The following is a 13409-nucleotide window of genomic DNA, read 5'->3' as shown; positions in this document are numbered from 1 at the left end:
CCTGCCTCAGCCTCCTGAGCAGCTGGGATTACAGGCACGCGCCACCAGGCCCTGGCTAATTTTAGGATTTTTAGTAGAGACGGGGTTTTGCCATGTTGGCCAGACTGGTCTCGAACTCCTGACCTCAGGTGGTCTGCTTGCCTCACCCTTGCAAAATGCTGGGATTACAGGCATGAGCCACCGCGCCTGGCTAGAGATGTTTTGATAGAGGCACGCAGTGTGAAATGAGCACAGTCAATGGGTTTTTACAGACGACTCCTCTTCCTTTCCTCACACTGCTGTGCAGCGACTGGACAGTGTTCCCCTGCCTTCAGCTCTCTGCCCAACACACCGGGCCCTCAGCTGGGGGCCTCGCGTGGTTATATGTTGGGTATGGAGGGATTCTGCTCACATCCCCCAGCCCCAGCCCTATTATGCGATGGGTAACTGTGTGGGTAACTGTGTGGGGAGGCAGAAAAATGGCCTGTAAATATGACCACATCCTAATCTCTGAAACTTTCAAAAATGTTCCTTTAACGGCAAGGGAGAACAAAGGTTGCTAATCACCCGGCCTGGAGATGGGAGATGATCCTGGATTATCCTGGTGGGCCCAGTGGAATCACAAGGAATTTTTTTTTTTTTTTTGAGACGGAGTTTTGCTCTTGTTGCCCAGGCTGGAGTGCAATGGCACAATTTCAGCTCACTGCAACCTCCATCTCCTGGGTTCAAGCTATTCCCCTGCCTCAGCCTCCCGAGTAGCTGGGATTACAGGCATGCGCCACCACGTCTGACTAATTTTATATTTTTAGAAGAGACGGGGTTTCTCCATGTTGGTCAGGCTGGTCTCGAACTCCTGACCTCAGGTGATCTGCCTGCCTCAGCCTCCCAAACTGCTGGGATTACAGGCGTGAGCCACCGTGCCCGGCCAAGGATCCTTAAATGGGAGAGAGGGAGGCAGAAGAGTCAGAATCAGAGACAGTGTCCTGAGAAAGGCCTGCCCACTACTGCTGACGTTAGGATGGAAGGACCCATGAACCCAGGAAAGCAGGCAGCTTCTGAAAGCCAGAAAAAAAGGCAAAAACCAGATTCTCCCTTAGAGCCTGCAGAAGAAATGCATACCTGCTGACTTGTTGATTTTAGTTCAGTAAAATCATTTTGGACTCCTGACCTCCAGCTCTGTAAGATAATAAATGTGTGTGTTTCAGCCGCTGAGTTTGGGGTAACTGGTTAGAGCAGCAACAGGAAAAGAATCCACTGTTGTTGATGGAGATTTGAGTTGTTTCCACTTTCTTCTTTTTTTATAGAGATGGGCGTCTCACTATGTTGCCCAGGCTGGTCTCAAACTCCTGGGCTCAAGTGATCCACCCACCTTGGCCTCCCAGAGTGCTGCGATTATAGGCGTGAGCTGCTGTGCCTGGACATTTCCAGTTTCTTGCTTTGCAGACAATGTCGCTGTGACTTTCCTACTGCAAGTGCCCTGGTGCAAAGGGGAAGGAGCTAGAAGTATACACAGCTTCAGCATTACCAGGTAGTGCCACCTCCTTTCCAAACTGCACCTGCCCCGGGTTGCCATATGGACAATGGACTAGGGAAGGGCAGAAGAAGGCAGTGAAACCATTAGGGGCCATCTCAGTGATCCAAGTTCTGAATTAAAGTGGTGGCCGTGGGGGTGGAAGGAAGAGGCAGATATGAGAAATATTGAGGAAAAGTCCTTGCTAAAGGGTTGGCTGTGGGGGGTGAGGGAAGAGATGGAAGGACTCCCAGGCATCTGGAACAGAAACAAAGATGGCGCATGGCCCGGCACGGTGGCTCACGCCTGTAATCCCAGCACTTTGGGAGGCCGAGGTGGGCAGATCACTTGAGATCAGGAGTTTGAGACCAGCTTGGTCAATATGGTGAAACCCTGTCTCTACCAAAAACACAAAAATAAGCTGGGTGTGGTGGTGGGCGCCTGTAATCCCAGCTACCCTGGAAGCTGAGGCAGGAGAATCGTTTGAACCTGGGAGGCAGAGGTTACAGTGAGCTGAGATTGCACCACTGCACTCCAGCCCAGACAACAGAGTGAGACTCTGTCCAAATAAATAAATAAAACCAACAACAACAAAAAGAAGAAAAAAAAAAAGGCGGGCACAGTGGCTCACGCCTGTAATCCCAGCACTTTGGGAGACCAAGGTAGACGATCACCTGAGGTCAGGAGTTCGAGACCAGCCCAGCAGACATGGTGAAACCCCATCTCTACTAAAAATATACAAAATAGGCCGGGCGCGGTGGCTCACGCCTGTAATCCCAGCACTTTGGGAGGCTAAGACGGGTGGATCACGAGGTCAGTAGATCGAGACCATCCTGGCTAACAAGGTGAAACCCCGTCTCTACTAAAAATACAAAACAATTAGCTGGGCGTCGTGGCAGGCGGTTATAGTCCCAGCTACTCAGGAGGCTGAGGCAGGAGAATGGCATGAACCCGGGAGGCGGAGCTTGCACTGAGCCGAGATCGTGCCACTGAACTCCAGACTGGGTGACAGAGCGAGACTCCGTTTCAAAATAAAATAAAATAAAATAAAATAAAATAATTTTTAAAAATACAAAATTAGCCAGGTGTGATGGCACACGCACGCCTGTAGCCCCAGCTACTCGGGAAACTGAGATAGGAGAATCACTTGAACCCGGGAGATGGAGGCTGCAATGAGCTGTGATCTCATTATTGCACTCCAGCCTGGGTGAGGCACAGCAAGACTCTGCCTCGTAACAAAACAAAACAAAACAAAACAAAACAAAACAAAACAAAACAAAGATGGCCGGCCTTCTTTTGTCCTGCCCTGGCCACTGGCTGTCCTGGTTCCCCCCTCCTCCTTGACAGCCTCACCCTGTGGAGGCTGACCTCTCACCTGCTTCTCCCAAGTTAGGAAAACCCATCCCATGTGGGTTAGAAGTCAAATGAACAGAAAGACAAACACACATTTCCAGACAAAGAAATAAAAATGCAGGTGACAGTTTAACAGTTAAACTTTAACTGATCTAACTGAACTAAACCTTAACTAATTTCCAAGTTTGTTTTTGTTTGTGTTTCTTTTTCTTTTTTTTTTTTTTTCTGAGATGGAGTCTCGCTGTCTCCCAGGCTGGAGTGCAAGATGGTCTCGATCTACTGACCTCGTGATCCCCTCGCCTGGGCCTCCCAAAGTGCTGGGATTACAGGCGTGAGCCACCGCGCCCAGCCTGTTTGTGTTTCTTAAGACAGGTCTTCTCTGTAGCCCAGGCTGGAGTGCAATTATGGCTATTGCAGCTTTGAACTCCAGGGCTCAATCGATCCTCTTACCTCAGCCTCCCAAATAGCTGGGACTACAGGCACATGCCACCACACCAAAAATACTAATTTTGGTATTTTCTGTAGAGACAGTGTTTCACATGTTGCCCAGGTTTGTCTCAAACTCTTGGGCTCAAGCGATCCTCCCACCTTGGCCTCCCAAAGTGTTGGGATTACAGGTATGAGCCATTTCCAAGTTTTAAAGCACCATGGCACAGACTGAGGGTTTTGAACCCACAGACATAGTTTAGCCTCTTGCATGGACGGCGTCCTTTGGAAGGCCATGCGGCTCTCACATAGAGGAGGCTACATGTGCAGACCTGGAAAAATGTCTATGATATATTAATTGACAAAAGGAAGCTAAGAAAAATATGGGGGGACCTCATTTTTATAAAATAGGGATATTAGAGAACTACATACAGGTATGTAACAGTAGTTCCCATTTATTGAGCAGTTACTATCTGCCCACACTGTGCTAAGTGATCTATCCGTAGGTATTAACATTCGGTCTTTTGCTGTTGTTATCACTTCATTTGACAGGTGGGGAAGGAACTTACCTAAAGCAGTCCAATTCCATGCTCTTTTTTTTGTTTTGTTTTTTTTTTTTTGGAGACGGAGTTTCGCTCTTGTTGCCCAGGCTGGAGTACAATGGTGCAGTCTCAGCCCACTGCAACCTCCACTTCCCACGTTCAAGTGATCCTCCTGTCTCAGCCTCCCAAGTAGCTGGGATTACAGGCACCCACCACCACGCCCAGCTAATTTTTGTATTTTTAGTAGAGACGGGGTTTCACCATATTGGCCAGGCTGGTTCCGAACTCCTCACCTCAGGTGATCCACCCGCCTCTATCTCCCAAAGTGCTGAGATTACAAGTGTGAACCACCAAGCCTGGCCTTTTGTTGTTGTTGTTGTTTATTTGTTTGTGACACAGGGTGTCACTCTGTCACTAAGGCTGAAACACAAATCATGGCTCACTGCAACCTTGAACTCCTGGGCTCAAGTGATCCTCCTGCTTCAGCCTCCCAAGTAGCTGGGACCACAGGTGCGCATCACCACGTTCAGCTAATTTTTAAAATTTCTGTAGAGATGGGGCCTCACTATATTGCCCAGGCTGGTCTTGAACTCCTGGCCTCAAGTGGTCCTCCCAGCTTGGCCTCCCAAAGTTCTGGGATTACAGGAAACTCCATGCTCTTAATCAACTCTCAAAACTGCCTTTCTCTTAACCTGGCAGGAGGTGGGCAAATTTGTGGCTAGTCTGGGGACCGCCAAGAGAAATGAGATTGGGCCCCAGTTCCTCTCTCCTGATAGGATTAGCTGCTATCTGACCCATCAGGACAGTCCTGTCCAGCTGGCAGAGAGGACACTCATGCCTCAAAGGAAATAACTCACTCCATGGGAAGTAGATGTGGACAGGTGACCCAAGCTCAGTGCCAGAGGCCAGGCATTGGTGAGGGACACAGGTGCCATGTGTGGTTTGGGCTGAAAGTCCTGTTGGACCTGCCCACTCTGGCGTCATTTCCTTTTTCTTTCTTTCCTCTTCTTTTTTTTTTTTTTTTTTTTTTTTTGAGATAGAGTCTGGATCTGTCATCCAGGCTGGAGTGCAATGGCGCAATCTCGATCGCGGCTCACTGCAACCTCTGCCTCCCAGGTTCAAGCGATTCTCCTGCCTCAGCCTCCCAAGTAGCTGGGATTACAGGCATGCACCACCACGCCTGGCTAATTTTTGTATTTTTAGTAGAGATGGGGTTTCACCATGTTGGTCAGGCTGGTCTTGAACTCCCGACCTCAGGTGATCCGCCCACGTCGGCCTCCCAAAGTGCTGGGATTACAGGTGTGAGCCACTGTGCCCGGCCTAAGTTTTGTATTTTTAGTAGAGATGGGGTTTCACCATATTGGCCAGGCTGGTCTTGAACTTCTGACCTCAAGTGATCCACCTGCCTCAGCCTCCCAAATTGCTAAGATTAAAGGTGTGAGCCACTGCGCCTGGCTTGGCATCATTTTCCTTTCAGGGAGCTGAGCTCCTGGAGTGAACTGAGAGGACTGCCTCGGGGCCCACGCAGTGCACCACTAGGCCTTGCAGAGTAGGACTGGCCTTCTTTGGACAGAGTGAGTCCTTGGGATTCCCAGACTATTCTGGAAGAGACCTCAAGAGGGAGATGCTGGGCTTCTTAACAATAAATGAATGAGGATGCAGGAGAGATTGGTTAAAAAAGCAACCGCAAGCACTGTGGCTAGGGTTGTTCTCCAAGCTGGTGAAGTGGCCCGTGAGTGCGTGTACATGTGTGGACACTCCATGTTCATAGTAATGATTTTCTCTGAGAAATGGATTTGGGTCACAGTGCACTGTTATTTTTTACTTTATACACTTCTTTTTGTTTGTTTGTTTGGTTTTTTTTTTGTTTTTTTTTTTGAGACAGAGTCTTACTCTGTCGCCCAGGCTGGAGTGCAGTGGCGCAATCTCGGCTCACTGCAAGCTCCGCCTCCCGGGTTCACGCCGTTCTCCTGCCTCAACCTCTCCGAGTAGCTGGGACTACAGGCGCCCACCACCACGCCCGGCTAATTTTTTGTATTTTTAGTAGAGACAGGGTTTCACCGTGGTCTCGATCTCCTGACCTCGTGATCCGCCTGCCTCGGCCTCCCAAAGTGCTGAGATTACAAGCGTGAGCCACCGCGCCCAGCCTAGTTTATACACTTCTATACTGTTTTAGTTTATAAACAATAAGCGTGTCTTTTTTTTTTTTTTTTTTTGAGACTGCGTCTCACTCTGTCGCCCAGGCTGGAGTGCAGTGGCACGATCTCGGCTCACTGCAACCTCCGCCTCCTGGTTCAAGTGATTCTCGTGCCTCAGCCTCCCAAGTAGCTGGGATTACAGGCACTACTTGCCACCACGCCTGGCTAATTTTTGTATTTTTAGTAGAGAGGGGTTTCACCATGTTGGCCAGGCTGGTGTTGAACTCCTGACCTCAGGTGATCTGCCAGCCTCGGCCTCCCAAAGTGCTGGGATTACAGGCGTGAGCCACTGCGGCTGGCCATGTGTATTACTTTTTTTTTTTTTTTTTTTTGAGACAGGGTCTCTCTCACTCCAGTTGCCCAGACTGGAGTGCAGTGGCTTGGCTCACTGCAGCCTCTATCTCCCTGGCTCAGGAGATTCTCCCACCTTTGCCTGCCGAGTAGTTAGGACTTACAGGCACGCGCCACCACGCCTGGCTAATTTTTTGTATTTTTCGTAGAGACGGGGGTTTCACCTGCCATCATGCTCGGATAATTTTTGTATTTTTGTATTTTTGTAGAGATGCGGTTTCACTGTGTTGGCCAGGCTGGTCTTGAATTCCTGACCTCAAGTGATCCACCTGCCTTGGCCTCCCAAAGTGCTGGGATTACAGGTGGGAGCCACCATGCCCGGCTGGGAAAATATTTTCTCCTCCATGAACCATACTCTCAATGCACTAACTGGTGCTGTGACAAGCACCAGGGACAACAGGGACTGCTCTCTGGTGAGGGCCATGCCCAACTGGGGCCCAAATGCAGCTGGCATCAGTCCCTGCAGGTATTCACATATGCTTTGGTGCTGGCTGGGGGTGGAGCACACAGCGCTGCTTGCAGGGAGGAGTGGGTTTCTTCAGAAACGTTTAGGGCCCTTCCCCCATAGACATTAAAGATGTTAAACATACCTTAGGAGGCAATGTGGGCTGGTAGGAGAAGCACCCAAATCTGCTGTGTGACCTGAGGGCATTTGCTAATCCTCTCTGGGCCATGTGGGTGATCCTGTAAACTGAAGGTTTGGATGGACTTCTTCTATCTGCTAGAAGTCCCAAAGTCTAGCATAGTGGTGAGGCCCAAGTACTGGAGGTCCAGGTTGTATGGTTTCAAATCCCAGCCCTTCCAAGTCATAAGTATGAGGGTCTTGGCAAAAATAATAATGACCCTTCTGTGCCTCAGTTTCCTCCCCTGGGCATTATAGTAATTGGCGATAATAATGGCATTTGCCTGATAGAGTTTTCTTGAGGACTAAATGGATATGTATGTTATAAATACATACGTGTGTACATACTCTGTATGTAGCAAATGATAGATATCATATGAGTTATATATCATTATATATCTCACTTAGAAGTTCCTGACACAGGCCGGGCATAGTGGCTCATGCTTGTAGTCTTGGCACTTTGGGAGGATGAGTGGGGGGTATATCACCTGTGGTCAGGAGTTCGAGACCAGCCTGGCCAACATGGTGAAATCCTGTCTTTACTAAAAATACAAAAATCAGCCGGGCATGGTGGCACGTGCCTGTAATCCCAGGTACTCGGGAGGCTGAGGCAGGAGAATCACTTGAACCCGGGAGGCGGAGGTTGCAATGAGCCGAGATCGCGCCACTGCATTCCAGCCTGGGAGACAGATCTCCGTCTCAAAAAAAACAAAAAAATGGAATTCCTGACACAAAGTAAGTGCAGTTTAAGTATTAGCTGTTTTAGTATTAGCAGTTAAGTATTAGCTGTATCATCCTTGGTATTTCAGACACCTGGACAGAAATGACGTGTTTACCCAAAACAAGGCAGCAGAGGTTCATGACCATGTTAAGTATCTTTGTTTTTGGCTAAGCTTTATATCCATTCAGTGTGGGAGCAATGGATTTTCTTCCACTGATCCAAAGCTTTGATTGGCAGTTCCACGTGACTTTACTTGAGTTTTTACTGTTTAATTTTTAAAAATTTATTTGTAATTAATTATTTTTTTGAGACGGAGTTTCACTCTTTTTTTTTTTTTTTGAGACAGAGTTTCGCTCTGTCGCCCAGGCTAGAGTGCAGTGGTGCGATCTCGGCTCCGTGCAAGCTCCACCTCCCGGGTTCACGCCATTCTCCTGCCTCAGTTTCCTGAGTAGCTGGGACTACAGGTGCCCGCCACCATGCCCAGCTAATTTTTTGTATTTTTAGTAGAGACAGGGTTTCACCCTGTTAGCCAGGATGGTCTCGATCTCCTGACCTCATGATCCACCTGCCTCGGCCTCCCAAAGTGCTGGGATTACAGGCGTAAGCCACCACGCCCGGCCAAGTTTGACTCTTGTTGCCCAGGCTGGAGTGCAGTGGCACCATCTCGGCTCACTGCAACTTCCACCTCCTGGCTTCAAGTGATTCTCCTGACTCAGCCTCCCAAGTAGCTGGGATTATAGGCGCCCGCCACCATGCCCAGTTGATTTTTTTTGTATTTTTAGTAGAGATGGGGTTTCACCCTGTTGGCCAGGCTGGTCTTGAACTCCTGACCTCAGGTGATCCACCCACCTCGGCCTCCCAAAGTGCTGGGATTACAGGTGTGAGCCACCGCGCCTGGCCTATTTTTAATTTATTAATAATATTTTTGAGACAGGGTCTCGCTCTATTGCCCAGGCTGGAATGCGGTGGTGCATGTAACGTTCACGTGCTCAGTGTAACCTTGAACTTCTGGCTCGAGCAATCCTCCTGTCTCAGCTACCCAAAGTATTGGGATTATAGGCAGCAGCCACTGTGTCCAGTCTTAAGTTCGTTTGTTTGTTCCTTTGTTTGTTTGTTTTGAAACAAGGTCTCTCTGTGTTGCCCAGGCTGGAGTGCAGTGGCACAATCACGACTCACTGCAGCTTCAACTTCCCAGGCTCAAACAGTCCTCCCACCTCAGCCTCCCCAGTACGTGGAACCACAGGCCTGCCACCATACCCAGCTAATTTTTTCTATTTTTTTTTTTTTTTTTTTTTTTTTTTTTTTGTGGAGACAGGGTCTCACTATATTGCCTAGGCTTCAGCTCTACTTTTTTTTTTTTTTTTTTTTTTTGAGACAGAGTCTCGCTCTGTCGCCCAGGCTGGAGTGCAGTGGCGTGATCTCGGCTCACCGCAACCTCTGTTCCCGAGTTCACGCCATTCTCCTCCCTCAGCCTCCCAAGTAGCTGGGACTACAGGCACCCGCCATCACGCCAGGCTAATTTTTTTTTGTATTTTTAGTAGAGACGGGGTTTCACCGTGTTAGCCAGGATGGTCTCGATCTCCTGACCTCGGAGCCCTAAGTTTTTAAAATGTAGGAATCTCTTCTTAATGTAGTTTGTTTGAAAGACCAAAAGCTCTTTTTTTTTTTTCTTTGAGATGGCATTTTGCTCTTGTTGCCCAGGCTGGAGTGCAATGGCACGATCTCGGCTCACTGCAACCTCTGCCTCCCGGGTTCAAGCGATTCTCCTGCCTCAGCCTCCCGAGTAGCTGGGACTACAGGCGCCCGCCACCGCCACCATGCCCAGCTAATTTTTTGTATTTTTAGTAGAGATGGGGTTTCACTATGTTGGCCAGAGTGGTCTCGCAGGTGATCCGCCCGCCTCAGCCTCCCAAAGTGCTGGGATTACAGGTGTGAGCCACCACACCCGGCAGGCCAAAAACTTTTTTTCTTTTTTTGAGACAGGGTCTCACTGTGTCTCCCAGGCTGGAGTGCAGTGGTGCAGTCATAGCTCGCCACAGCCTCAACCTCCCGATTCAGGTGATCCTCCCACCTCAGCCTCCCGAGTAGCTGGGACTACAAGCCACCATGCCTGGCTAATTTTTGTAATTTTTTTTTTAATTGATCATTCTTGGGTGTTTCTCGCAGAGGGGGATTTGGCAGGGTCATAGGACAATAGTGGAGGGAAGGTCAGCAGATAAACATGTGAACAAGGGTCTCTGGTTTTCCTAGACAGAGGACCCTTTGGCCTTCTGCAGTGTTTGTGTCCCTGGGTACTTGAGATTAGGGAGTGGTGATGACTCTTAACGAGCATGCTGCCTTCAAGCATCTGTTTAACAAAGCACATCTTGCACCGCCCTTAATCCATTTAACCCTGAGTGGACACAGCACATGTTTCAGAGAGCACAGGGTTTGGGGTAAGGTCACAGATCAACAGGATCCCAAGGCAGAAGAATTTTTCTTAGTACAGAACAAAATGAAAAGTCTCCCCTGTCTACTTCTTTCTACACAGACACAGCAACCATCCGATTTCTCAATCTTTTCCCCACCTTTCCCCCCTTTCTATTCCACAAAACCGCCATTGTCATCATGGCCCGTTCTCAATGAGCTGTTGGGTACACCTCCCAGACGGGGTGCTGGCCGGGCAGAGGGGCTCCTCACTTCCCAGTAGGGGCGGCTGGGCAGAGGCGCCCCTCACCTCCCGGACGGGGCGGCTGGCCGGGCGGGGGGCTGACCCCCCCACCTCCCTCCCGGACGGGGCGGCTGCCGGGCGGAGGGTCTCCTCACTTCTCAGATGGGGCGGCTGGGCAGAGACGCTCCTCACCTCCCAGACGGGGTCGTGGCCGGGCAGAGGCGCTCCTCACATCCCAGACGGGGCGTTGGGGCAGAGGCGCTCCCCACATCGCAGACGATGGGCGGCCGGGCAGAGACGCTCCTCACTTCCTAGATGGGATGGCGGCCGGGAAGAGGCGCTCCTCACTTCCCAGATGGGATGGCGGCCAGGCAGAGACGCTCCTTACTTTCCAGACTGGGCAGCCAGGCAGAGGGGCTCCTCACGTCCCAGACGATGGGCGGCCAGGCAGAGGCTGCACTCTCGGCACTTTGGGAGGCCAAGGCAGGCGGCTGGGAGTTGGAGGTTGTAGAGAGCCGAGATCACGCCACTGCACTCCAGCCTGGGCACCATTGAGCACTGAGTGAACGAGACTCCGTCTGCAATCCCGGCACCTCGGGAGGCCGAGGCTGGCGGATCACTCGCGGTTAGGAGCTGGAGACCAGCCCGGCCAACACAGCGAAACCCCGTCTCCACCAAAAAAATACGAAAACCAGTCAGGCGTGGCGGCGCGCGCCTGCAATCGCAGGCACTCGGCAGGCTGAGGCAGGAGAATCAGGCAGGGAGGTTGCAGTGAGCCGAGATGGCAGCAGTACCGTCCAGCTTTGGCTCGGCATCAGAGGGAGACCGTGGAAAGAGAGGGAGAGGGAGACCGAGAGGGAGAGGGAGACCGAGAGGGAGAGGGAGGCCGAGAGGGAGAGGGAGGCCGAGAGGGAGAGGGAGAGGGACTGGGACTGGGACTGTAATTTTTTTTTGTAGAGACTGGGTTTTGCCATGTTGCCCAGGCTGGTCTCAAACTCCTGGGCTCAAGCGACCCGCCCACCTCAGCATCCCAAAGTGCTGGGATTACAGGCGTGAGACACTATACCTGAGTTCAAGTGATTCTCCTGCCTCAGCTTCCCTAGTAGCTGGGATTACACGTGCCCACCACCACGCACGGCTAATTTTTTGTATTTTTAGTAGAGGTGGGGTTTCACCATGTTGGCCAGGCTGGTCTCAAACTCCTGACCTTGTCATTCGCCCACCTTGGCCTCCCAAAGTGCTGGGATTACAGGCGTGAGCCACCGCGCCTGGCCTCACCTCAGCCTTTCTAGTAGCTGAGACCACAGCTACACCACTGCACCCATCTAATTAAAAACAAACAAACAAACAAACAAACATTTTCTACAAATGAGATCTCACGGTGTTGCCCAGGCTGGTCTTGAACTCCTGGCCTCAAGCAATCCTCCCACCTTGGACTCCCAAAGTGCTGGGATTACAGGCATGAGCCACAGAGCCGGCCTGTAACAAGACTGAAGGGAGGCCCATCTCATGCATGAGCATGAAAGCCCAATCGTCATGCTTATGAACGACAAAAGGATCATACAGCGAACATTTACTGGACATTGCCCTTAGTGCTCCACAGGTACTGTCTCATATAACACTCACCATGTCCCTGTCATTTTCCACATGTAAGAGGTGAGCGAACTGAGGCCCAGAGAGGTTGAGAGACATAAGTGGGTCACACAGGTAACTGGCAGGCGGTCTGCTGTGCACATGGGGGGCATATACAGGCATGCACATGGGCTGTGTATGTGAGCAGGAGTGTATAGAATGGGGCAGCTGTGAGCACAGGTGTTCATGAGTGCATATATGGCTCTGTTTACATGCTGTGGACGTGGGTGTGCCCAGCATGAGTTTTTTACAGTCTTGGCAGGCTCTGCTTCCCCAGCCTGGAGCACCCTCTCTCCTTTGGTCCCCCGATTACACCTATTTATCTTTGAAGCCTCGGTGCAGGCGTCACCTGTCCTGTGCAGCCTTCCCTGGCTCCTCTGGCCGAGTTAGTTGCACCGGGTCAGTTGCATCAGCTCTCCCTGGTGTTGCTGTCTCTCCCCTTGCCCTTGCAGGGTGAGCGCAGGGACAGGGCGTGTCCCTTCATGTCTGTGTCACTCAGGTGCCTGGAACAGGCTTGACCAGGATATTAACAGGAATAACAGCTGCTACTCAGACTCAGTGGGCCTGGCCACGCTCAGGGCCTCACTTAATCCCATTTCTTCATCTCATCTCAGGTGAGGAAGTGAATTTCCAGGGAAGATCATTGATTGAAGCAGGTGTGTGGCAGAGCCAGCCAGTGAGCCCTGAGTTTGGTGCCAGCCCTGCCACTCCCCTACCATGCTCCGTTCAGGACTATTTTAGTATTTTTTAAAACTTTATTTTGGAATAAATATCACATGCACATGGGAAATAGTGCAGAACATATGAAAGCATTTAACACTGAAATGTGTCCCACCACCCCTGTCCCCTGGCCTTCTGGCTCCCTCCCCGAGGAGGCAACCACTATTCCCAGGGTCTTGTGTGTCCAGGGCCCCTTCACACTGGGTTCCCTCACCCTGGGGGTGTGTGTGCACAAATGTATGTGTGCAAATCCTTCTGGAGAGGTTTAAGCATGAATAAACACAGATGCAAATCTGCACAGGACACAGTTTCCTTTTTTTTTTTTTTTTTTTGATACAGAGTTTTGCTCTTGTCACCCAGGCCGGAGTTCAATGGCATGATCTAGGCTCACTGCAACCTCTGCTTCCCGGGTTCAAGCGATTTTCGTGCCTCAGCCTCCCAAGTAGCTGGGATTACAGGCACTACTTGCCACCACGCCTGGCTAATTTTTGTATTTTTAGTAGAGACGGGGTTTCACCATGTTGGCCAGGCTCGTCTCAAACTCCTGACATCAGGTGATCCCCCGTCTCGGCCTCCCAAAGTACTGGGATTACAGGTGTGAGCCACCACACCTGGCCCACTTCCTTCTAATGCTGGAATGAATGTTCCTGTCAACTTTCAGACACACTTGGCCAGTGCAGCCAGCTGTCCTGCTCTTGAGTGAGG

The 13409-nt window shown here is 50.7% G+C and overlaps 1 non-coding gene across 1 annotated transcript; it reads right to left on the bottom strand.

Moving 5' to 3' along the window:
- Positions 1 to 11803: 11803 nt before the first annotated feature.
- On the bottom strand, positions 11804 to 11911 carry LOC124905159 (small nucleolar RNA U13). The gene has a single exon (XR_007068166.1). It is a non-coding gene; the product is annotated as a small nucleolar RNA U13 (small nucleolar RNA).
- Positions 11912 to 13409: the final 1498 nt, after the last annotated feature.

The sequence above is a fragment of the Homo sapiens genome, chromosome 22 (genome assembly GCF_000001405.40).
Source record: "Homo sapiens chromosome 22, GRCh38.p14 Primary Assembly".
Taxonomy (NCBI): Eukaryota; Metazoa; Chordata; class Mammalia; order Primates; family Hominidae; genus Homo; species Homo sapiens.
Note: the sequence above shows the minus strand (reverse complement) of the source record. Positions and strands in the feature narration are given on the sequence as shown.